This window comes from Homo sapiens, chromosome 2 (assembly GCF_000001405.40).
Source record: "Homo sapiens chromosome 2, GRCh38.p14 Primary Assembly".
Classification (NCBI taxonomy): Eukaryota; Metazoa; Chordata; class Mammalia; order Primates; family Hominidae; genus Homo; species Homo sapiens.
Window position 1 is genome coordinate 121047221 of NC_000002.12, and position 25255 is coordinate 121072475.

General features: G+C 51.4%; 1 long non-coding RNA gene across 4 annotated transcripts, besides 2 other annotated features; it reads left to right on the top strand.

Annotated features, from left to right (window-relative positions):
- The first annotated feature begins 2239 nt into the window (after positions 1-2239).
- LOC105373587 (uncharacterized) lies at positions 2240-10564 on the top strand. Of its 4 annotated transcripts, none has more exons than XR_923264.2 (5): positions 2240-2361; positions 2943-3770; positions 4783-4861; positions 9167-9365; positions 9884-10564. It is a non-coding gene; the product is annotated as an uncharacterized LOC105373587 (long non-coding RNA). The 4 variants fall into 4 exon arrangements; XR_923266.2 differs by having other exon boundaries at positions 9234-9365; XR_923265.2 differs by lacking the exon at positions 2943-3770 and having other exon boundaries at positions 4755-4861.
- Positions 23607-24170: an enhancer, noted in NCBI's record as "H3K4me1 hESC enhancer chr2:121828403-121828966 (GRCh37/hg19 assembly coordinates)". NCBI's record gives its function as "activates a minimal SCP1, AML or CMV promoter by ChIP-STARR-seq in primed H9 embryonic stem cells {active_cell/tissue: H9 hESC(primed)}" and the evidence as "EXISTENCE:reporter gene assay evidence [ECO:0000049][PMID:30033119]".
- Positions 23855-24014: an enhancer, noted in NCBI's record as "active region_16462". NCBI's record gives its function as "activates an Ori minimal core promoter by ATAC-STARR-seq in GM12878 lymphoblastoid cells {active_cell/tissue: GM12878}" and the evidence as "EXISTENCE:reporter gene assay evidence [ECO:0000049][PMID:35858748]".

The following is a 25255-nucleotide window of genomic DNA, read 5'->3' on the forward strand; positions in this document are numbered from 1 at the left end:
TCACTGTTCAGGCTATGAAAGAAACATAGCTGGACTCTCCTGTATCTAAACTCAACTTCCGTTTAGGGCCTCTACTCCACTGTGGTCATTTCAGTTTATGCAGAATCCCCCAGCTTTTTCCTGGGAACACGAAGCCGCCACAGGCCCACTCTGGCCTTGGCAGGGACACCCTCACTCTGGCTGCTGTTGGTTTGCTGGCCTGGCCTCTATCCAGCCCCTTCAAATCCCTTCTCCAATGCCACCTTGTCACCAGGGACCGGGAAACCCCCTGGGCTCACCCAAGGCTCGCTTGCCCCTGTGACCTCCTGAGTGGCTACTTCTTTCCTAGGCCTTGCCACCTCCCTGGAGCTCTGCCCAGGACCGGGGGCCATGGTGGTCTCTGGCTCTGATGGCCAAACATTTCCAATTATCCCTCCAGGCTCAGAGCACCATGGCTGAACCCCCTAAGAGTTCACTGTGGCCTGTGACTTGCTCTGGCCAGTGAAAAGAAACAAGTGACAAGGGGCATCTCTTGGCAGAGGCTTTGGAAGCCAGAGTGTGGTTTCTTTTGCCATGGCGATCAGTGTGAAGCTTTAGGTGGCGCCTGCTCTGTCAGCTGGGCTCCTGGAGTGAGGAGACAGCGTGGGGCCCTGCTGATTCACAATGGATGTGGAGTGACAGTGAGAAATTCACCTTACTTTGTTAAGCTGCTGCAAGGTGGGGTTGTTGGTTACTGCAGCCGAGTCTACCACCCTGACTGCTACAGAGACACGAGTTTCTTCTACTCTTGACCTTCCAGATCAACCTGAGGTCCAATATGCCCCATTGCTCAGCCAAGAAGCAGCAGAGTGGGAGACCCTCTTCTCGGGACACCTGCCCTCCCAACCAGGGGGAGTTTTCTTTGATGCAGGCCTGCCTCTTGCCATCAGTTTTCCATTCCTAGCCTGTTGTCCATTCGCTCAAGCCTGGGCTTCCAACACTTGAAAGGCAATAAATGACTCCACTTCTTCTACTGTCCTGCTGTCCTTCTCTGAGACAACTTCTGAAGGCTGACTGGGGCAGGGGAGGAAGAGAAATGCCAGGGGTAGCATGGGATGGAGAATGGGGAGTGGCTGGCTGGATAATAGCCCCCGAAGGATGACCATGTCCTGGGGCCTAATCCCCAGGACCTATGAATGTTACCTTACATGTCAAAAGGAACTTTTCAGATGTGACTTAATTAAGGATTTTGGCTGGGCACGGAGGCTGACACCTGTAATCCCAGCACTTTGGGAAGCCAAGGTAGGAGGATTGCTTGAGGCTAGGAGTTCGAGACCAACCTGGGCAACACAGTGAGACCTTGTTGCTGCCAAAAAATAAAAATAAAAAAAAAATTCACCATGCATGGTGCTATGCGCCTGTGGGCCCAGCCGCTGGGGAGGCTGAGGCAGGAGGATGGCTCAAGCCCAAGAGGTTGAAGCTGCAGTGAGCTGTGATGGCGCCACTGCACTCCAGCCTGGGCAACAGAGTGAGACCCTGTCTCAAAAAACAGAAAGAAAGAAAAGAAAAGAAAAAGAAAGAGAGGAAGGAAGGAAGGAAGGAAAGAAAGAAAAAGAAAAGAAAGAAAAGAAAGAAAGAGAGGGAGGGAAGGAAGGGAGAGAGAAAGAAAAGGAGAGAGAAAGAAAGGGAAAGAGAAAGAAAGAGAAAGAAAGAAAGAGAAAGAAAGAAAGAAAGAAAGAAAGAAAGAAAGAAAGAAAGAAAGGAAGAAAGAAAGAAATATATTTTTAATTAAGGAGTTTGAGATGGGAGATTATTCTAAATTACCACGCATCAGTGCATCATGCGGTCCAACCACGGGGGAGGTAGCAGGCAGGGTAAGAGAAGATGTGACGACGGGGCGGAGGTCACAGTGATGGGCTTTAAGGACGCACACAGAGACCACAGGCGAGGAATGCAGACCACCAGTGGGATGTGGAGAAGGCCAGAGAATGGATTCTCTTGCAGAGCCTCCAGAGGGAACACAGCCCTGCAGACGCCTTGCGCTCAGCCAAGTGAGATCCTTGTTGGCTTCTCACCTACAGAGCAGTAAGAGAATCCAATTGTGCTGGTTAAGCTGCCAAGTTTGTGGTCATTTGTGACAGCAGCAGTAGGAAACTGGCACTCTTAGTGACTAATTAAAGAGTTCACCTGTCACATCTGCAGGCCACCAGGGTGTGGCCTAATGTGAATCTTTTGTCCCCTCCCATTGCTGATGTCATACAGGTTTGACTGTGGGTCCCCCAGACTCTGCTCCTGCTATGCTCCAACCTCACTCTTCCCTGATTTCTCCTCCTGGCATTCCAGGCTCCTGGACCCCAGTATCTTCTTCAGACTGAGGATTTGACTTCTGCTTGGTCTCCTAGGGTGAGCCCTTGCCCCTGCATCTCTTTTAGTTCTAACACACCAGCCACTTCAGAGAAGCCCCTGACACCCCTGCCTTAGGAGTCCTGCTCCCTCTTCAGGTGGCTCTGCCGGTCTCTGCTGCTTTCTCTCCAGGCCCTACCAGATCCAGCCTCGAGCACAGCTGGGGAGTCAGGGTGCCTGGCCTCACCTTTCTGGACACCCCTCAGAGTGCACTGTCCAGTGTGCTAGCTACTACCCCATGAGACTAGGATGAGACTAAGTAAATTTAAATTTAAATTAATGAAAAGTAAACATTCGGTTACCCGGTCATACTAGCCATATGTCCAGTGCTTAGCAGCCACATAGGGCTAGTGACAACTGTATTGGATGACACTGACATGAACATTTCCATCATTGCAGAAAGTTCCATCAGACAGCTGTGCTCTAAGGCATTCTTCCATCCTTTGAATGCCCTTACAGCCCTGCCCAGCTTAGAGAAAGGAGCTCCTATGTGGAGTTCCACGTGGGTGTGAGGAGGCTGTAATCCTTGCATTCTCTCTCCTTGGAGCACGTCATGTATTTTATGCCTCCTCTCTGTCTAGGGAATGGCTATTTCTGGCCCATAACAAAGAAAGGGTCGTCAGCAGGACACAGCCATGAGCCTCGGCGTTTATTCCTTCCTCTCTGGAGTGCCTTCCCCTACTACAGAGATTTGAAAGCTTGAACTACATTTCCCACAGCCCTTTGCAGTCAGGGTCCTGGTTACAAAATCAGTTCTGTAAGAGAAGCACTTACATGACGTTAGAAGACAGAAGGCAAACAGGAAAGACCAGTGTCCAGCCTCCTGCTCCAGTCGCAGCAGTGGCTGGATTCAGCATCCCCATGGCCAGCCATCAGCTTTCTGTGTCAAAAGGCAGCTGTCTCTACGACTGAGGATTTAGGCCCACGGGCACTGGCAGCTCCCTAATCCCATCTTCCCGATTCCCTGGGTCACAGCTATGACAACGTGTTCCTGGAGTTAATTTCCTGTTCCTTGGTATTCTGGTAGTCATTCCTGGAGACCCAGACTGGAATTGAGCCATCAGCCTCTTCAGATGATTTTGTAAATCTTTAAGTGCCTGTATTAAATCCCTTCCTGCTTAAAGTACCTGGCATGGTTTCTGTTCCCTACACTCAACCTGGACTAGCAAGGAGTCAGTAACAGCTGGAGCAGGTAAATCCTAAATCAGAGCTACTGTCTGGGCATCTCTAAAATATAAATTGCCCCAAGGTCTAAGCGACTTGTCCTGGAAGTAGACGTTTTCGACCTCGATCACCACTGTCCTACAGAGCTGGACCAAGTGATACCTGCCTTCATTTTATGTGATGGTCTTTATACACCAGCTGTTCAGAATTCTTGAACCCCAGAATAAAGGGTTTAAGGAGCCCAGGTAATTTCAAATGCCACAGCTAACTAAAACAATAGCTTTTTATTAAGGCTGGCTTAAAAAAAAAATTGAGTTACAAGGTGAAATGTTATGTCCAAAGTGTGGCTGAACTGTCAAAGGTACACAAAATCAGCCACATGAAATTACAAAACACAAGCTGTTTTGTTCTGTGGAAGTGAAAAAAGGAAATTTTTTCATCAAGCTAGGAAAATGACAAAAATAACAGCACTAAGAACGCCACAGCAATAAGACTGTGAGTGTCATGGTCCCAAGCGTCTCCTGCCACCTCCACTCAGCCACATCCTGCTGTCCTGTCCTCAAAGTCAAGCGCTCGGGTTAATATGCGCATAGCATTGCTTCTCTTCATTCACGTGCACCTTACTCTCCACTCGTGATTCAATAATTCCAGCACAGCAAACTGTGGCTTCTTCCCAAGGAGTAGCAATTATTTGATATTATATCCCAAGAAGCTCATTTTTATCTCCTTGGCAATCTTCTCATAGCAAAGACTTGCCAAGAACAGAGCCTGTGCCCATCTGTCTCTCTCACTTGTTTACTAAATATTTATTGAGCACTGTTATGGGTTGAATGTTGTCCTTCCTTCAAAAAAGATATGTTGTAGTCCTAACCTAACAATACCTTAGAATGGGACCTTATTTGGAAATAGGGTCATTGCAGATATAATTAGTTAAGATGCGGCCATAATCTTAAGGTGGGCCCTTAATACAGTATGACCGGTGTCCTTATAAGAAGATCGCCATGCAAAGACAGGCACACAGGGAGAATGCCAGACAAATATGTAGGCAGAGATTGAGTGATGCCACTGTGAGCCAAAGAAGGCCAAAGATTGCTGGCCACACCAGAAGCTGGAAGAGGCAAGGAAGGATTCCCCCAAAGGTTTCAGAGGGAGTGGGGCCCTGCAGCCACCTTGATTTCAGACCTTTTTGCTTCCAGAACTGTAATAGAGTACATTTCTATTGTTTTAAGCCACCTAGTTGTTGGCACTTTCTTACAGCAGCCCTAGGAACTAACACAGGCACCGACTGCACCAAGCAGGATTCTGGAAGCTGAGGTTACAGTGGAGAAGGAAACAGGTATGTCCCTATCTGAAAAGTTCACAGCCTCCGCCAGCATACCCACCCCTCTCAGATGTCCTTCCCCCATCGTCCTGCAGCCTCCTTTCTCAACCTCTGGGGAATGACTGGGCTGGCGTTATCAGTGCCTCTGGGTTACGAAACCAACGAACAAACTAACCAATCGTGGCCAGCCAGCACTGTTGATTTGGGACCTTGGCCGCAGCGCCTGGCTCTTTAGCTAAGAGCATGATATTTTAGTTATGCTTTGATTCTAACCGAGGCAGCTAATTTTATATATGGGGAAACTGAGGCGTGGGGAACTGAAGAGATGCCCAAGATTGGGGTAGTTCATGCTAGAACCAGATCTAGTGCTGAAGTCCACAGATGTCCAGTCTCCATGTCCTGCCCTCTGAGGCCCAGCTAGAGCCAAAAGCAAAACCTCCCTCTTCCCAGGGAGCATTGGTCCTGGGTCAGTGGCTCAGTCTCCGGGGGACCCCTCTCTCAGAGCTGTGTCTCACCTGTGACAAGCCCCTCCTCGTTTCCATGTCCCCCACCCTGTCCCCACTGGCCCATGCAGCAGCTCCAAATGCATTGGTTTTCCCTGATCACTCACTCTGGGACTTCCATATGCTGAGCCAGGCCAGTCCCACCGGATGTGAGAGCTTGGGGGCTGGGCTCACAGGCCTATGTCAGGCACAGCACACAGTTGCACACTTGGGTGACGAGTGCCTTTGTTTATGCCTCCTCGAACCTGGTATGAACACCTGCATACAATACGTCAGTGTTTCCTGGCCAGGATGAGGTCACAGGCCCTGTAAAAATCTCATGAAGTTATAAATCCTCCCTTATAAAACTTACCATTCAGACTTACACAGAAAACTTTAAATAATTCTTCAGGGGGCTCATGGGCCACCAAAGCCTGTCTGTGTCCTGAGAGGCCCATAGACTCCAGATTAAAACTGCAGGCAAAAGGTACACAGGTTTGTGCATATAGATGCAAGCAAAACCTGCCAAAAGCTACATTAGTGTGTAAATGGTGTGGCATGCATTTCACGTGATTTATTTTGTTTGAATACCTGATGTCAAATATATGTAAGGTGATGTAAGTTGAGTGGAGTGGAAGAACACAGACTTTGGAGTTCCACAGATCTCTGTTAAATTTCTACTTTGCTACTATCCTAGCTGCATGACTTTGGGTATGAAGCTGCATGAATTTGCTTCTCAGCCTCAGTATCTTCATGCGTAAAATGTGGATATGCATGAAGCTATGAATAGAAAATATCTAGTAAAAGGGTAGCCGGCACTTCGAAATTTGACTAAAAAATTATTATATAGCAATCCCTTTTCTCCCTCTTTATCGTTTCCTGTCTATATATAATATGCCATGTCTATCTTAAAAGATGTTTATCCAAATGTTACTAGTGCAGGGGCTTGGATAGATGATTTAATGTATTTTTTTGTATTCAACAGATAACATTTATTCTTTTGGTATACAAAAGAAAACAACAAATTTTTAAAAAAATTAAATGCCTACTACAGTATTTTTTACAGAATAGTTGACCAATAAGTAACACTTACTGATACCTTTATGTATAACATAAAATATATTCCATATCACATATAATACAGCATTACAGAATCACTGGTGTTCATCTGATATAATTTGGATGTTTGTCCCCTCCAGATTTCATGCTGAGATGTCATCCTCGGTGTTGGAGATGGAACCTGGTGGGAGGTGTTTTGGTCTTGGGGGTGGATCTCTCAGGGCTTGTTGCTGTCCTTGAGATAGTGAGTGAGTTCTCGGGAGACCCTGTTGTTTAAAGTGTGTGGAACCTCCCCCACCCACTCTCTTGCTCCTGCTCTGGTCATGTGACCTGCCTGCTCCCACTTCACCTTCCTCCATGAGCAAAAGCTCCCTGAGGCCTCCCCAGAAGCCAAGCACATGCCGGCACTGTACTTCCTGTACAGCCTGCAGAAGCATGAGCCAATTAGACCTCTTTTCTTTATAAATGACCCAGCCTCAGGTATTTCTTTATGGCAGTACAAGAACAGCCTAACATACCACCCATCCCTAAAGCATCTGTGGAGTACCTATGACATGCATAGGCCATGACATAGGTGACCTACGACACCCAGGGGCCAGGGATTGCAGAGAGGAAGAGACTTGGCTTGTGCCCTCTGGAGGCTGATCCTGAGTGGGGAGTGGAGGCATTGTACCATTTCAGCTGGTCAAAGTTTTGAGGGGAGTTTTCCAAGGAGGAGATGAAATGGTAGAGGAGCTCCCGTGGGGAGAAGGTGCCAAGGGGACTTGGGGAACGGAGAGGGGCCAGGAGCTAGCAAAACCATCCAACTTGGAGACACAATGGATTGTGGGGAAGGGTGGCAGATGGCCATGAGTGTCAGGCCAATGCATTTAGACTTCACGTGGTGGAAGACAGGCGTCCCTGTGCTGCCTCTTGAGCAAGGAAGTGGCCTGATCAGAGTTTCAGTTTATGTTTTCAATTAGGACCAAGTAGCAGAAACTGGACTGCAGGGCCTCAACTAAATAGGGATTTTATTGTTTGTTTGTTTCACAGACCATGGAATCTGTGAAAGGAGGTAGAAAGTCCAGATCTGGCCGGGCACAGTGGCTCATGCCTGTAATACCAGCACTTTGGGAGGCTGAGGTGGGTGCATCACCTGAGGTCAGGAGTTCAAGACCAGCCTGGCCAATATGGCAAAACCCTGTCTCTACTAAAAATACAAAAATTAGCCGGGTGTGGTGCATGCATTGTAGTCCCAGCTACTCGGGAGGCTGAGACAGGAGAATTGGTTGAACCCTGGAGGGAGAGGTTGCAGTAAGCCAAGATCGTGCCACTATACTCCAGCCTGGTTGACAGAGCAAGACTCTGTCTCAAAAAAAAAAAAAAAAAAAAAAAAAAGAATGAATAAATATGCAAGATCCTCCAAAGGGAGGACTCTTTGTGGATTCCATGATGTTCACAGGGAGGGGTCTGTTTATGATGAGTAACCCAGGCAAGAAATGCCTTTGGCCCTTCCAAGTGCTCCAGATATTGAGATGGGGCCCCATCCCATCCAGTCCTGGGTCGGGGAGTTAGGGGGTCTGTACACATCTGGAATTGGGAATGAGGTAGTGCTCTGCACTGGCTGCTGGCAAGGATGCCCACGGACTGGAGGAAGGAGGTCCAGGCATCTGGATTTTCCATCAGGAAAGGCCAGGTTATGCTGCAATAACAAACAACCCCATTATGTCGGTGGCTTACAACATCAAGGGTTTGTTTCTTATTGCATCCGCTCCTGAGTCACTTGGGAACCCAAGCTGATAAAGAAGCCACCGTCTCCAACATCACTGCTCATGGTGGCAGATGGAAAGAGAGACTGAGAGTGAGGGAGGGGTCTCCCATCAGCAAATAAGGGTTCCAGCCCGAAGTGACACACCCGACTCCCACAGACAGCTCAGTGGCAGAATGGTTTGTATGGACCAGCCCAACCACTAACAGCTTCAGTGACACAGAGTCATTGTAAGCGAAGGTCTGAAGCCAGGGTGCTTGAGGGACCTAGCTAGAGAAAACTGGAAGCTTCTGAAATTGTGTCTGTCAATATGAAACTCTCACCTCCCGCAGCAGCAGGCAGTTGTGCACCCCACTCCTACCTGGCCGTGGCTTCCTGGGGCCTGGGGAGGGTTCCCTGGGGTCATCCCACAGCAGATCTCTCTCTCAGGCTGAGGAAGGGATGCTGAGACATGGATCCTGGGAAAACTATTTTTCCTATACAGGGCCCAGTGATTTCACTACAAGAGGTAGGTCTGAGACAACTGAAAATAGACATCCACCAGAACCAGACATCCATAGCAGCACTATTCATAATAGTCAAAAGGTGGAAATGATCGAAATGTCCACCAACAGACAAATGGAGAAGTAAAATGTGTTTTATCCATACAATGTTCAGCCATAAAAAGGAACCAACATGTTACATGTGATGAACCTTGAAAACATGGTGCTGACTGAAGGAAGCCACTCACAAAAGGGTGCATGCCATATGCCCTGCTCACATGAGTATCCATGCCAGGGGAAGCTAGAGAGATGGAAAGTAGGTTAGTGGTTGTCAGAGGCAGGGGGTTGGGGGAGAAAGGCTCCATAGAGGCGATAGTTAAAGGGTATAGGGGTTCTTTTTGAAACGAAGAAAACCTTCTCAAATTTGCTGTGGTGATAGTTGCACGTAGCTGTGCGTACACTAAAAACCATGGAGTTGTACATTTTAAAGGGATGAATTGCTTGGTGTGTGAATTACATCTCAGTAAAGGCCCTTGCTACTGTCTGGCAGGGGAGCAGCTGCTCTGTCCTATAAGGTGGCGTAAGTATGGAGAACAGGCCCAGACTCTTCCTAACAGCCCACGGGAGCCAGCAGGAGCCAGCAGGAGGCCAGTGGGGATGGAGAGAGGATGGCACAAAGGGACGGCAAGGTCCGGCAGGGGTTGGGAACACTGAGGCAGCCGCAGACTCTACAAGGTCTCCAGGTCCAGGTGAGATCCAGAGGCAGCCAGATGCCTGACTGAGCCCTGCTCCCACCTACCTCAACTGTGCTCCCATTGCCTGACAGCCATTCATTCATTCATTTGTTCATAAATTTGCCCATTCATTCAGTGATTTATTCACCTAGCAAATATCCATTTGATGTCTACTTTGTGCTTCCAAGATTTTCATTCACCATCCACGTAACTGTCCTCTCATGATTCTGTACACTCATTTCTCAGGTATTTAATGAGCATCTACTATGCACCACACACTGCAGTAGGTGCTGGGGTGCAGGTGGACAGCACAGACAAGAATCTCTGCCTGCTCAGCAATGGACACCTTAAAGGAAAAACATTCAAGTATCTTACATTGCAGTTATTATGTTTTTAAAATAGGGGAGCACCAAACAAGACATAAATTTTTTCTTACGGAATTATATAGCCCAGATGAGTTTACAAATGTAATCAAGTACAACCGTAAAATCAATGAAAATGTCAGTGTTCTGTGCCTATGTTCTGTCTTGCAGAGCGTGGACCCTCTGAAGTCAGTCCTTCCTCCACAGTTTCTGTCTGAAATCCTGCTCCACGTTGTGTTCGGCTTTCACGTGGCACACGCCTCTCCTTGCTGGACACGCCAGCCAGGCTTTGTCATTTCATCCTATCTTTTTTGTCAGCTCATGACAGTAACAGCAGTGTCACTCCAAAACAACCTTGGCATTCACACCAGCACCTATCTGGGCACCAAAATCTCGAGGTGACACTTGGCTTTGAGGCCAGCCTCCCACATCTTTCAGAGCATGCTCCATGAGTGACCTGAATCTGCCTGCTGACATCCTCAGGTGGAATATGCCACCAGGGTCCCTTCTCCAGCCCCACCACACTGCGGCCCACTCCTTCCAGGCACCCCGGAACACTGTCCGACAGCGCCGACCCACAGGATGTTCCAGGACCATGGAAGTGCTTTATGTCTGTGCTGTCTAATACAGGAGTTATTGAACATTAGAAATGTTGTTAGTGGGCTGGGGAACTGAACTTTTAATTGCATTTAGTTGTAGTTAATTTAAGTGTAAATCATCACTTGTGGCTCGTGGCTACCTTACTGGGTAGCTCTGGCTAGCTCTACGGGATCTAGGTCAGCCTTCTTAAAAAGATGGAAGAGGTTGGGTGTGATGGCTCACACCTGTAATCCCAGCACTTTGGGAGGCCGAGACAGGAGGATCACGAGGTCAGGAGTTCGAGACCAGCCTGGCCAACATGGAGAAACCCTGTCTCTAATAAAAATACAAAAATGAGCTGGGCGTGATGGTGGGTGCCTGTAATCCCAGTTACTTGGGAGGCTGAGGCAGAGAATTGCTTGAAACCGGGAGGCAGAGGTTGCAGTGAACCGAGATTGCGCCACTGCACTCCAGCCTGATGACAGAGGGAGACTCCATCTCAAAAAAAAAAAAAAAAAAAAAAAGAATCTCTTCAGCAAAATGAGTTCTTAATCATTTATACTGTTTTGTTTTGTTTTGTTTGAAGCCACGATTTATTCAGCACCCACCCTGTGCCAATCACTGTACAGGGTGCTGGGACCTGGGGATGACTAAGAGGATTTCTGCCTAAGTTCCTGGTTGGAATACTTACAGGGACTGACTCTCCCGGCCAAGGAGGGGTGGGGAACAGGAGGCCCGGAGCCAAGCCATGACCCTGGGTGGGTGCTGGCTTCCTTAGGTGGGTGCAGGGAGAAGGTGTCTGCTCGGGTCCAGAAGCACGCACATGTGAAACCACAGGGTGGGCTTAAGCAGCACGAAGGAGAGTGGAGGAGCCCGGTATGGCTGAGGCCAGGGAGGGTCTGGCAGCAGGATGAGGGTGGCAGGAGGCAGCCCCTGGAGGGCCCAAAACCCTGATTCTGTTTGGCTCCTGAGGAGCTTGGTCACTGTCCTATGGTGGCATGGAGTCCCGGAGTGTATGTGGAGGGCAAATGGGCAAGGTAGGAGGTTGTGGGTACCAGGCTGAGCACAGGAGAGAGGCCCGGGCTGGGACCGATCTGGGTGCCAACAGCGGGCATGGCAGAGCGGAGGGCAGTCGACGCAACAGGGGCTCCTGACAGATAACTGCCTGGCAGACGCGCCTCCCCGCAGCAGAGGAAAGGAGAGACAGAACCTCAGTGGTGTCAGAGGAGGACATGCAAGGCTGGAATGAGGCCCCTCCATGGTCGTGGAACTCTTGGGCCCCGACACCCCTATGGGCAGCCTTTGCTTGTTAGGCAGGGGCCTTGGGAGGAGGCGCAGACCCAGCTTCGGGGATGGGATCAGGCCCAGAAGAAACAGATGCCCACCTTCCCAGGCCTGTTTTTCATTCTGGTGCCACCATAAATTGCCTGGAGCAGCCCCCGCCCTCCCCCGGCCCCTGTTTTGCAGTCGGGGAGTATCAGTCATGATAAGACATTACTTAAAGCAGTGGTGACAGGGCCTAATCAGTCTTGTGAAATATAGACTTCTCCCCACACTGCGGGCAGGGCCAACATTAATACACATTTATGCAAAGCAAGAGCTGTAGCTGTCGGGTGCTAATCTTTACAAGTATGATAAATGATGTTTATTTTCAGTGATGGAACGAAACACCCCAGCCGACAGTAATTGTAATAAAAAGGACAGATCAACTTCTATAAAGTGATTGAATTACCCAACGATTACATTAATGTCCACACTCTGGTGTGTCACCAGCTTCCTCGAGGTTCTGAGGACAACGTGCAGGACAATTTCCCCTTCAAGTCACCACCTGCCCTTCACCCACCTGGGCTCCTGGGGCAGAGGTGGCTGCAGCTGGGAGTGATGCCATTGGTGGCCTCCAGACCAGACTGTTTTCATCTTGTGTGGAAGGAACCTAGGCTGGGCGGCTGGAAGTGGCCGGGCAGTAGGTGGGAGGGCTGGGGGGCGGCAGAGGGGGACCCTGCCTCGACCAGCCTTTTGGAACAGAAAATACATTCTTATGTCTAATTCTCCCCATAATGCTGAAGGCTAGCAGCTATTATTATACTCTTTTTGCAGGTCAGGAAGTGGAGGCTCAGGAAGGTTAAGTGGCTTGGCCAAGGTCACACAGCTAGTGTGTGTCCAAAGTCCAAAATGAGATTCCCTCCCGGAAGCATTTAATAGGGTGCTATGGAAGTGCCTGAGGGGACCCCTGGCTCCCAGCTCTTTCTCTGATGGTGACCAGGTGCCTGCCCAGCCCTGACAGTGGCCTGGAGGACCTGAGTACCAAGTGCCTCACTGTGGAGGCCTGCAGAGGTCTGGGTACCAGAAGGCCTGGACCAGAGACTCTGGGCATCCCCTTCCAACACCGCAGGCCAGCACAGTGTGCCGGGGGAAGTGCCTGGCCTTGGCAGGCTGATGGGCCTGGGTCTGAGTCTGTCTCTTGAGCCATTGGTCTCCTTATCTGTAAACTCAGGGTCAGAGAAGCAACTATCTCACAGAGGTGATGGCTGATCAGTGAGGGTTGGGGGGGTCCCTGCGAATCTCAGCTGGGTCCTCCCCAGGGTCAGACAGCTCTGGGAGGTGCAGTGGCCTTGTGGAGGTGGGGGGTGCCAGTGGGCCTGAACTAAGGGGATGACACTGGGAACTATAATATGATCCCCACAGAAACCAGAGGGATCTTCTTAGAAAGTAAATGGGCTCTTGTCGCTCACTCGCCTAAAGCCGAAAGCCTTCCAATGTCTCCTATCGTGTTCAGGATAAAATCCCAGCTTCTTAACCACACAAGTTTGTCCCAGTGTGTGTGCAACTTTGTTGAAGCTATGAAAATGGCAAATAATGGCTTCTATTTGTAGAGCCTCATTCTGGGTACTCCTCACTGCAGCCCTTTCCAGATGGGGGAACTGATACTTGGAGAGATAGAGACTTGCCCAGGGACAGACAGCTAGTTAGTGACAGAGCCAGGCTTCAAGCCCAGAGCAGGGCTCTAAAGCTGTTGGTCCCTCTGACCCCTGACACCTTTCCCCGGACCCCCTGCTGGCTAATTTGGCTTTGTGGGGGAAAGAGTGTCCACTCTGAACTAACAAGTGGTCTGACCCAAGGGAACATTTTTAAAATGACTCATTTTTACTACATTTAAGCTTAAATCACAACACATCCAAAATGTTTCTGAGCAGAGCCCTGCGAGGTACTGTGCTGGATGTGAATCTGCAGGTCCGGATGCTCTGTCATGAGCTGCACCCGTAGGTGAGCTCGGCAGGTGTCTGAGGTGTGTGGATGGAGGTGGTGGGGTGGACAGTGCACGCTAGGGGAGAGAAAGGGCCCTCCTGGCGCTTCAGTTCTGGTATTGTAGGGTGGTGGTTCCCAAGCTTGAGCGTGCATCAGAATCACCCGGAGGGCTGGTGAAAACACAGATTCGTGTGGTCTATACAACCCATAGACTATTATTCAGCCACACAAACGACTCCAGTGCTGATGCGGCTCCAACATGAGTGAACCCCAAAAACATGATGCTAAGAGAAAGAAGCCAGGCACAAAGGGCCACACAGTGCGTGATTCCATCTATAGGAAATGTCCAGAATAGGCAAATCCACACAGACAGCAAGCAGACTGCTGATTGTAGGGGGCTGGGGGTAGGGACCTGGGGAAGCCCCACTTAATAGGGATGGGTTTTCTTTTGGGGTGAGAATACTGTTTAGGTGCTAGAAAGCTGGTGGTTGTACAACATTGTGAGTTCACTAAATGGCACTGAATTGAACAATTTAAAATTGTTAATTTTATGTTATATGAATTTCACCTCAATTTTTTTTTTTTTTTTTTGAGATGGAGTTTCACTCTTGTTGCCCAGGTTGGAGTGCAATGATGTGATCTTGGTTCACTGCAACCTCCACCTCCCGGGTTCAAGCGATTCTCCTGCCTCAGCCTCCCAAGTAGCTGGGATTACAGACATGTGCCACCATGCCCGGCTAATTTTGCATTTTTAGTAGAGATGGGTTTTCTCCATGTTGGTCAGGCTGGTCTCCAACTCCTGACTGCAGGTGATCCTGAGGCCCACCTCGGCCTCTCAAAGTGCTGGGATTACAGGTGTGAGCCACCGCACCCGGCCAACTCGCCTCAATTTTTTAAAAAGCAAAACAAAACAAAACAATGAGAAAGTCCCACAGCTTGTTGGGCTCACCCCGAGCCTTGGATTTGGAATTCAAGTTTCTAACCAGTTCTTAGGTGCTGCTGCTGCTGCTGGTCCCGTGAACACACTTCAAGAACTCCCTAGGAGGTAACCAGAACCCCTGGGAGGCCCCGCCGGGATCAAGCCCAGGCTGGAGCCATCTGCCAGCGGGAGGCTGCAGGAGGGCTCTGGGACAGTATATTCGCGGGGAGGGGGTCGGCCACAGCCTCACATTCATACTTTTTGGCTATGTTTATTCCCCTTTCAAGTCCTCATTCCATGTTTCTGTTCATAGTTTGTTACTTATTTTGAATATCCTTCATATTTTGGCTTAAAAAGGGCCATCTCTTATGGAAGTGTTTTTTAAACAGGGTTGCTTGTTTTCAGAGCTGGTTTAGGATGTACTCCTCTCCCCCCGCTCTTTCTGGAGGTCAGAGGGAGGTGGGGACGGGGCTCACGGAGAGGTGGAGAGCAGGCGGGGAGTATGTGGTGCCCCCGGAGCGCAGCCCCCAGCACCCTCTCTCCATGAACCCCTCCTGCCTTCTTCCCAACCCCCAGCCTCAGCTCAAGATGCTGAGCAGCCCCACAGACCCCTGCCGTCCCTTATGGAAGTCAGCACGTCAGGGGACATCCCTGATGCTGCCTTTTCTGGAATCTCCCTGGTCAACCCATCCCCTAGTAAGGCAACGCCACTGCCTCTGTGCTTCTGACTGCCACCCTCGCCTCTCCCCAGAGCCAGGTAAAGAGCGCTCACTCACCCTCCACATCCACTCTTGGCCCTCCCATCGCTCTCTGCCCTACAGCCAGGAGATTCAATCATGCTTCCCATGCATCCACGACAAGGACCAGCAGTCACTTGTCACCCATGGGCCCCGGTGCTATGACCCCTGCGACCCCTCTGGTTCCTGTTTCACCACGCTGCCCATCCCACCGGCTTCTCCATTTCATGCGTCTCTAGCTGGCCCCAGGAGCTTTGCCCAGGCAGTCCTCTCATCCCAGAACCTCACTCCCTACTCCCACTGCCGCCCCTCCCCCGCCCACTCGGATAACCCGAGCGTCCTTCAGCTCTTACATCCAAAGTTAGTTTGTCAGAGATGGCCTTCCTTGACCCCAGACAAGGCCAGGCCCCTGCCCAGCTTTCCCGTCGCTCCGGCACTTTCCTCCGTGGCACTTGTCCTGGTTTCTAACGATACTTTGCTTTGTGTGCTTGTTTAAGGCCTCGTTCTCCCTCCACCCTGGAAGGTTCACAAAGACCCAGCCAGGGTACACTTTGCTCACAGTTGCACCAGCCCCTAGTCTGCTGCCCGGCCTGTGCAAATGCTCAGAGAACGCCTGCTAAGCCAATGAATGAACTTCTTCCTGTTCTCTAGGAGGACAGGTGCTTTGCCGCAGAATAATAGTGAGTGTTTAAAATGTTTTTAGTTCCAGAGTTCTTGCTATGTGTGTGTGTGCACGTGTGTGTACATGTGTGTGTGCATGCATGTGCTTCTACTGACCCTGGGATGGAGATGACACAGCCAGGACAAACACCCCTGGCATTGTCCCTCGCCACATGATCCCGCTGGGGAGGGGTGGTGACAGTTCGGGTCATTCTGGAATCCCAAGGGGGAAGGCGCTTTATTCGCCCAGGGCTAGCCTGGCCCCTTGTACCCTGCCAGACTTTTGAAAGCACCCTCATCTCCAAGTTCCTGGCTGCCTGCACGCAACAGAGCACCCTCTCTGGAATCTTCCCCACTTTCCTCCCTGTGGGGAGGAAAGGGAAGATTCAAACCCTTCCCCACTTCGATTGGGATATCCCAAGTGAAGAGGGAGCCCTGAACCCTATCCCACCACCTGCTGTCACTCAAAGACTGTGCAGATGGAGAAATTCTACAGAAAGCCTGGCTGCTCTACCCCCAGCCACACTGCTGCCCTGGCCTGGAGGGCTGGAAGATCATCAGCCTGCAACCGCAGCAGTCACCCTTGGGCTGTGGCCATCATCATGAGAGTATTAAGACTGGCTGTGTCTGTTGTGGGTAAAGCCAAGTGTGACTAATGTCTTCAGAGGGAGAGCATCAATGATTACCCTCCACCTCGTTAATTCTAGGAGCTCAGCTTAGATCCTGGGAACCTTTATCCAAAGGGAGAGAAGAAGAAGATGTTAAAATTCTGTTTATTTCTGAAATTCCTTCTTGGGCATCTTATAGCTCTCGTCACTCATTCAACAGACTCGTAATGAGGCCCACTCACTGCCTGGCACTGAGCTCAGCCCTGGGAGGCAGAGATGAGTGAGCCTGCACCTCTGAGACACACAAGTGAACAGCAACGAGAGCGCCATAGGAGCGGCTGCAAGGTAGGCTGTGGGAGCCCAAGGGAGGTGCCTACCAAGCTGCCCAGGGCTGCCAGGATAGGTGTCCAGAGGAGGGTGCCCAGAGCTGAGTATGGGAATACCGAGAGGTCTGGGCCACATGAACGGGTGGGTGGGAAGGAAGGACATCCCTGGGGTAAGGACAGCACGGACCCGAAGGCACAGACGAAGTTCCTTCATGCTTTTGGGAGTAGAGATGGACGTGGTTTTGGTTTCTGACTACACCACCTCTAAGCCACCTCTCCCAAAGTCCTTGAACTCCCAGGAAGCACCAGCAGATGTTCATTAGCGGGTGGGGAGAAAGGGGACTGGAGTCGCTTGCCAGGGCAGCATGCTCGGAATAAATGCCTGGGCGGTGCTGCAGAGCTTAGCACCTGGTCTGGAGCCAGTTTTGATGGGGCTGGAGTGATCGGGGGCAGTGGAAAGGAGCCTAATCATTGTTCTTAATTATTATGGTGACTTTTTATTAGGAATCCCGGCTGCCCAGACCATAAGGACGTGTGCCCCCCACCTCCGTTGGAGCATAATTAGGGGGAATATTTGGGGGAGACTAATGAGGTTGGCTTAGGTAAGGAATGGAAATAAACAGGAGAGGGCTGCTTGGCGCAGGGGGCTTTAGGGCCAAGCTTATATTTGAGGCAGCATATTGTTGCTAGCTGAGGTTCTTGTTAATGTGCCCAGCCGCTCTGGGCTTTGGGGGCTGAGACACTACAATTTGTTATGAGTATGAGGGCCATGATGTGGGGACACTGGAAATTTCCACCCTGATAATGAAGAAGGCAGCCATGCCACTCCTGGGGTCAGTTCCCATCCACTGTGCAGGATGATTGTGGCTGAGCCCCAGACCTTGATTCATACAAGACATCACCCTGCCCAGTCTAGCCATCCAGAGAAAAGAAATTATTTTTCTATATGAAGACTAGAGCAGCTATAGAACAAGACCCCTCTCTTAACTGGAAAGCCCAGCCCTACCACCTCCTACAGGAAGCCTTCCCTGATAAATATGCACATTAACATCCATTCTCCCTGTTCTATCTCTGTAACTGTTACTACTATTGCTCTTGGCATATGCTAGTATCCTTTACATGTCACATGCCAGTCCCTCTGGTTAGATGTGAGGACCCAGAAAGCAAGGACTGTGTCCTGGTCACCTTGACACTCCCAGTGCCCAGGACAGCTTGACATGCCAGATTTTCAGATGTTTGTTCAGTTGAGTTGACTTGAGCCTGGGTCCACTCACATACAGCTGATCACGACCAGTTGTCCACAGGTGGGTCACAGAGGCTAGGGGGCAGCAAAAGAAGAGACTGAGGGTCAGGCAGGCTTTCAGAGTGAGCACACGAGGCAATGGCCCAGGGACAGGTCCAGTGGTGGCAGAATTGGCCTCACCAGAGGTTGGCTCATGTACTTCTTCAGTGTGGCTGCAAGAGTTCTGTGACTTATCCCCAAGTCTATAGGACAAGGTCCCCAAAGGACACCAGAAGAAAGCTGAGGAGCCTCGGGGCCTGCTGCAAGCCACCAGCAGCCAAGGGGCGCTTCTCAAACCTGCTCTCCTGGTCTGGGTGGCAGTGGGGTTGCAGGGGAGAGACGGTGTTGGAGGTGGGATGGTGCGGAGGTGTGCCCAGCAGCCAGGTGGATGGGAAGCCATATTAGGGACATTGGCTGAAGACAGGGGCGAGGGCTCTGTGGAGAGAGGATGCTGGATTTGGGGCCAGCCACCTTGACCACACCAGAAACACTCTCTTGGCTTCTGAGTCCTCGTCCATCGCGTGGGAGGATGGCTTCTCCTTTCCCACTGCACAGGCCTGGCTCCCGCGGACGTCCCCTGCTGGGGAACTGCTTTTGAAGTCCAGAGGAAGGAACGATGACCTCTAACTGGGGCAGTACTGAGGACCCAGCAGAAAGGGCAATGTATGAGGCTTCGAGGAGGAGGTGGCTCCTGGGCTGGCTGGAAGGAGAAGTAGGTTTTGGCAAATGAAGCTGGCAGGACAGTCAGACAGGCAGACGGAACTTGGTGGCAAGAGCACGGTGGTATGGAACGGGTAGCACATTGACAGCCTGTCTGTGAGCCTGGCCTGTCCCTTCTGTCTCCTCTGTGGGGCCGAGCAGGGCATCCTGCTGTGGGCTGAAAGCTTCTGGTGGTGCCCACTTCCCCCAAGCCTTGCTCCACCCTGTGATATCTACTGCAAGAGGCTCTCCCGCCCTCCAGCTTTAGTGGGGCTCAGACAATGGGAGCACAGGCAGGTGAGGGAGAAGGAGGCCAGGGCACTTACTCCCTGACTCTGACCATTTGGGGCTGCTTTGGGGTTCACTGTGTCCCTCAGCCAGATGACTCTTTTCAAAGCAACTCTCTCCTTCTGGGATCCTTGCCCCTTTAGGCAGAGGGGTGGTAGCAGCAAAGCTAGTCACGGAGCACTGCACTGTCCCTCGCATCACCCCTCGCCTGCCAGTACCTGTGTGAAGTTGGTCCAGTCCTTTAACCTCCTCAAGTATCCCAATGTGAGAGTGCCAATACATCCCATGTGGCTGAATGGTAGGGGAATGGGATAGGGAAGAGAAAGAAGCGTAGGCCTGTGGGTTATAACCGGATATGAGATGGCCAACTTTGATCAGTCACGGGGTGCCTGATACCTTTGCTGAAAAGGACTTGGAAGCCACATCCTGGATTAGCAGGAGGAGTGTGCTGCCATTGATTAGTAATGTCTGCCCTGGAAGCGAGGGCTGGGAGTAGTACCGTAAGCCCCAGGCATTCCATTCTCCCAGGACTGATCACAGAGGCCTTCGGGCTGCAGGAAAGGGAACTTGAATCTGATCCTAGAAGCACTGATAGAAGGAAAATACCATCAAAGTCATTCTGAACAGAGAAGTTCAATCCCAGTACTTTTTCTTTCCTGGCGTGGCTTTGTGGGTGGTGGATGGAGAGGAGACAAGGAGACCAGCAAGGGGCCCACTGGAATGAACAAAAGGAAGGTCAGAGATAGGGAAACACAGGTGATGAAGAGGCTGGTGAGAGGGATTGTGAGGTCTAATTCTTAGGACTAAATGTCTTGTTGGCTAGCAGGAACAAATCTTGTAATCAAGACACTGGAAGGATGTGGATGACATTATGGGCAGGAGACCCTGAAGGAGAAGGGTGGAGAAGAGATGGGGCAGAGGAGTCTACAAGGGGTAAGATGTTCTATGTCTTCAGAAGAAACCTGGGGCTCGAACACACTTTGAAGAACAAGGCCTAGGCGGGGCTGGTGGGGGGTGCACAGCACAGCCCTTGGTGCCCCTCCACTGGGCAGTAATGGTGATGCCTCTATTTGGAAGCATGGTGGCAACACTGTCTGGCCTCCAGGAGTGAGTGACGGTGGGGAGGAGCAGCTGAGCAGTGGGGCAAGGAGTGTGCACATGCTACATGGGGCCCTGGGGTCTCTCTGCCCCTGGGGCCAGTGCAGAAGCCACACTGGGAACCTGGCCCTCCTGCAAAACCTCTCTGTCCTGGTCCCCCTAAGCCTGGCTTCACGAGAGCTAGTCTTTCTGACTAGTTTTGCTTTACTTTACTTTTCCTTTCCCTTCTAATTTTAGAATTCACATCTGCACATTGTAGAAAATTAGAAAAATATAGCTCATTATTAAGAAGAAAAGAAAAATTACCATCATGCCACCTGCAGAGAGAATTGCTAGTAAGGGTTGGTGCAATCCCTCCAGGCTCTTTTTTTTTTTTTTTTAGCACTTTTAATGGGGAGACCTCTCGGGCTACCAGCTTGGCCCTGTAGGAAGTAGCACGTCACTCTGGCCTGGAATCCATTGAGTGTGGGTTCTGAGCTTCCCCCCAACCCCTGGATGGTCCCTGGTTCTGAATCCCACACAGTGCCAAGGTGTGTTGGATGGGGAGGGATGTCAAGGGGTCCTGGGTCACCTGTCACTTGTGTTTGTCCACATAGGTGACTCGGGAGGAACCGCGGCTCTGCGGTGGTGTGTGTCTCTCTCAGGCATGGGAGTCTCAGGAGAATTTGGAAACTGGCATCTGCGGAGCAGCCCCCAGAGGCCCACTGACTCCCCTCTTCCCCAAGGCCAGCCCAGGCCCAGAGAAACCCCTGAAAGTTTGGGGGAGCCCTCCCCAGCACCTGCTTCTCCTGACATTCTACCTCTCCCTGCCATACTTGTCCTTCCCTAATGGACTTGGAACGCCACAAAATCCAGAGCCTGGGTCATTTGTAACCAGAAGCCGGCTCCTCCTACCCCAAGGGCAAAGAGGGCTAAGGCGAGAAACCCTCCCAAGGTGAAGGAAATTTTGTCAAAGAAGAAAAAGGACAAAAACCAACATCACCAAGAAAGCCCGGGGCAGTGGTATCCTCACAAACACAGACACACCTGCAGACTTCTCTCACCAAATCGAGATTACAAAGCACAGCTTCCACTGCTTCTTAGCTTTTCACTCTGTGTTATGCCAGGAGCATTTTCTCATGTCATTTGAAAATGGGATTTCTGAGGGTAGCTCCCAAGGGTGACTTAGTAAATGAACTGAAGCCAGGGGATGAAGTGGGTTAGAGACCAGTCGTGGATGGCACAGAGACTGGCATCTGTAACCTGTCTCTTTCATTTCTACCCCTTCCTCAGCCCATCCCTAGCCTTCCCTCACTCAAGAGGCTACCGTGGCTCCCCATTTTTATCACATCAAGTCTAAACTCCAGCTTTCAAACCACTCATAACCTGGCAGGCTCTTCTCCTCTCTGTCAGTGAATGCCCCCGACCCTCACCACGGTACCCATTCCTCTCTTCTGTCTCTTGAGGTGCCCCCACCCCACATAGTGCTCAATCCTGTGTCCTTGCCCTGCTGAGCAATTCCCTCCCTCCCTCCTCCTCTCCCCAGTCCCCCTCATCCCTGTCATCCATCCCCTACTCCTTGCAAGTGGCCTCTGTAGTCCTCTCTAGGGCCCTCTCTCATCTCCCTCTCTGCGGCGGGTCCTGGCACCTCCGTGGCAGGCGGGATTTGTTGCCATCCCAGGGGGAATACTGGGCTTCTCAGTGGGCAGGGCTTGAGGCTTCATCCCTCCTCTTCTGGAGCCCGCTGCATGGTGCAGCAGGGCTGGGAGGGCTGGGCCAGTGAACCTGTACTTCTCAGGAGGAAGGGCTTTGCCCACCACTGGCCTCCAGGTGCCCGGCTCTGGTCGGGACTGTTTTGCTGCTCAGTGCCAGCCAGCAGCCAGGCCCAGGCACAACCTGCCCCAGGGTTCTGGGATGGCAGAATGCAAAGCGCAGACTCCACCTCTAACTTCTCCCCTGAAAGGAGAATCTGCCAAATCCCCAGGAGTTCAGAGGACAGGCCAAGGAGAGCAGAGGAATTCTACAGACCCAGGTGGGCCCTGGCTCCACCCTTCTGCCAAGCTGTGCCATCCTAGGCGGCTCCCTTAACATCTCTAATCCGCAGGAGCTTCTCTCGGGGTGTGTAAAGCATGAGTGGACAGGAGGGAGGTACTCGATGAATAGTGACAGCCAAAACCCTGATAACAATGGGCGATGTCATTTAACATTCACCGTCATCTCATGGCGCAGTCACTATTATTCCCCCATTTCGCAGATGAGGAAACTGAGCTTCCAACTTGCTCCTGCAGGTCCTGCAGAGTTCAGTGATGAAGTTCAAGCTTCATTCGGTCATTGCGCCTCCAGGGCCAAGGTCATTTGCAAAACTCCTTCGCGTGACCATACTGTCAACCGCGAACACAGCCCCATGCCTTGGTGGAGGGGGTGGGGTACGCCCATCCCACGTTGGGAATCAGGAACCCACCCTCAGCCGCCCCTGTCCTTGTGCCCTGTCTGTGGTTCCGTGGTGGAGGGTAACTATGTTTTAGTTAGCATGGATCCTGCACATGTGCTGGAATATTCCATCTGCAAGCATTGAAGGGACAGGAAATCGAAGTCTGGGCCCCTCTCACACTGAGGGAAATTCACAGACATTGTGATTAAAAACAGTAGGATGGTAAATATGTGCCCAATTAATGCCTTTACTAAAATAGCAAGTCCCTAAAATATTTCCGAGCAGGAAGTAGAATGAAGAAGGCCCCCTGCCCCCACCTCGCACCCCATTCTGTCCCCCACTCCTGAGAGCAGCCCAATTTGTCCCCAAAACCCAGGAAATCTTTCACGGAAAATACTCTCCAACTCTGGCTCCGCTGGGGTTCGAGGCCAGCCAATGGGGCAGGGTGGAGGACAGGTGCCCTGGAATTCCTTTCATGCTTATTAAAACCAACAAATGTCAGGCCGGGCACGGTGGCTCACGCCTATAATCCCAGCACCTTGGGAGGCCAAGGTGGGTGGATCACTTGAGGTCAGGAGTTCAAGACCAGCCTGGCCAACATGGTGAAACTCCATCTCTACTAAAAACACAAAAATTAGCCGGGCCTGGTGGCGGGCGCCTGTAATCACAGCTACTTAGGAGGCTGAGGCAGGGGAATTGATTGAACCCAGGAGGCAGAGTTTGCAGTGAGCCGAAATCGCGCCACTGCACTCCAGCCTGGGTGACAGAATAAGACTCCGTCTCAAAAAAAAAAACCCAACAAATGTCAGAAGTCAGTATTGTGGGTCCAGTCCACAGGGATCCCAGAACCACCCTTGCCCCCACCCCCTGCCAGGATCTGGCTACTGGGTGAGACCCAGGCCTGGCCTTCAGCTGGGTGGCTGGCAGCTTCCTGAGTTAGTTCTGAATCCCAAAGTTAATGGTACATTGGTCACGCCTGTAATTCCAGCACTTTGGGAGACTGAGGTGGCGGGATCACTTGAACCCGGGAGTTTGAGACCAGCCTGGGCAATAAAGCAAGACCCTGTCTCTACAAAAAAAAAAAAAACCAAAAATTCAGTCGGGTACAGTGGTGTGCAAGCTACTTGGGAGGCTGAGGTGGGAAGATTGAGCCCAGAGGTTGAGGGTGCAGTAAGCAAACGTCACACACTCCAGCGTGGGTGACAGAGAAAGACCCTGTCTCAAGAAAAAGTGTATTGGATTTCTCAAAGAGACTGTTCCAAAATCTGTTTGAAAATGGACCCTACAAGGATGATTTTTAATTGGAAAAGAAAAGAAAAGAAAAAAAAGGACGGGGAGAGGTAGGAAAACAGAGTGCAAAAGCCCACCAGCGCCCCCTGGTGAAAGAAGGGCAGTGGTGCCCGGCGCCGACTGCCAGCCTAGGGCGGACGGCAGGAGGGGTCCCAGTCCCAGCACCACCTCCGCTCCCCTCAGGGCTTCCCCAAGACAGCCCAGGGGTTCCAGCCCGGAGGCGTCAAAGCCCTCACCCGCCCGTTTCCTGCTGATCAGCCTCAGCACTCCACATAGCGGGGAAAGCAGCTTGTCCCTGGTCACAGAGGCCTTTTCCGGAGGGAGCAGGCTGTTACTGTGACTGTGTGGCTGGATCACTCACCCTCCAGCCTGACAGAGACTGGGCTCTGGGAAGGGCCTTGCCCAGGCCACACTGCTAGACAGGCTGAAGGCACAGGCGCCCCACGTTGTAACACCTCAGAAGTTCTGGGTTTCCAACTGAGTACCCAAACATAGAAAGAGCCCTGGTGCCCATCAGCACCAGGTGGGTGCACAGCCCATTGTCCTACAGAGGCCAGAGGAGCTCCCTGGAATGTACATCAGGCACGTCCCCATGGCCACGGGGCTCTGCAGTCCAACCCACCTATGTCCCCAGGTCACCTTTTAGGGCCTCCTCTGCTCCTTCCGCTTTAGCCGACTGGGCCTTCTTTCCAAAGCATTGAGCTCACCTCCACCCCAGGGCCTTTGCATTCACTGTTTTCCTTCCCTAAAAACGTCTGCTTCCAAATGTCCAGATGCCTCCTCCTTCTCAGAGTTTAGGTCTCGACTCAAATGGCAACTGCTTTAAGAGGCTGTCCTTGTCTTCCTGGGCCAAGGGTCCCTGGTCCCCATCACTCCGCCCTCTCAGACTGCTGTGAGGGATCTTTATGGATGTTATTACCAGCATTACATTACACAGTGTACGAATACTATATATTAATATGTGCTAGGATGCCAAGCTCCAAGACGGGGGCAGGGGGGCTGTCTTGTTCAGCTCTGTGTCCCCAGCCCCATCCAGCCCTGCACATCCTAGGTGCTCAGTAGCTAGTTACTGCATGAAGGAATGAGTGGAATTTGAATACTTATAAGGGAGGATTGGTGGCTGCTTCCCCTGTTCTCCCCCAGTGCCTGCGTTGTGGCATTTATGGTGTCATCTTGTCATTTACCTCTGGGTCCATCTCTTTCAAGGTGGTGAGTCCCCAAGAGAGGGAGAGAGGCTCAGGGCCTGTGGCTCCTTGGAGCTCAGAGAAGGTGCTCCCCTGTGGGTAGTCTCGCCCCGGCACCACTTGCTCCTGATCTCTGCACAACGGGTGGCCTTGGCCCCACGTCCCCTTCCCCTGGCACTGCTGCTGGGCAGGCATCTGGAGACCTGGGCTCTCACCG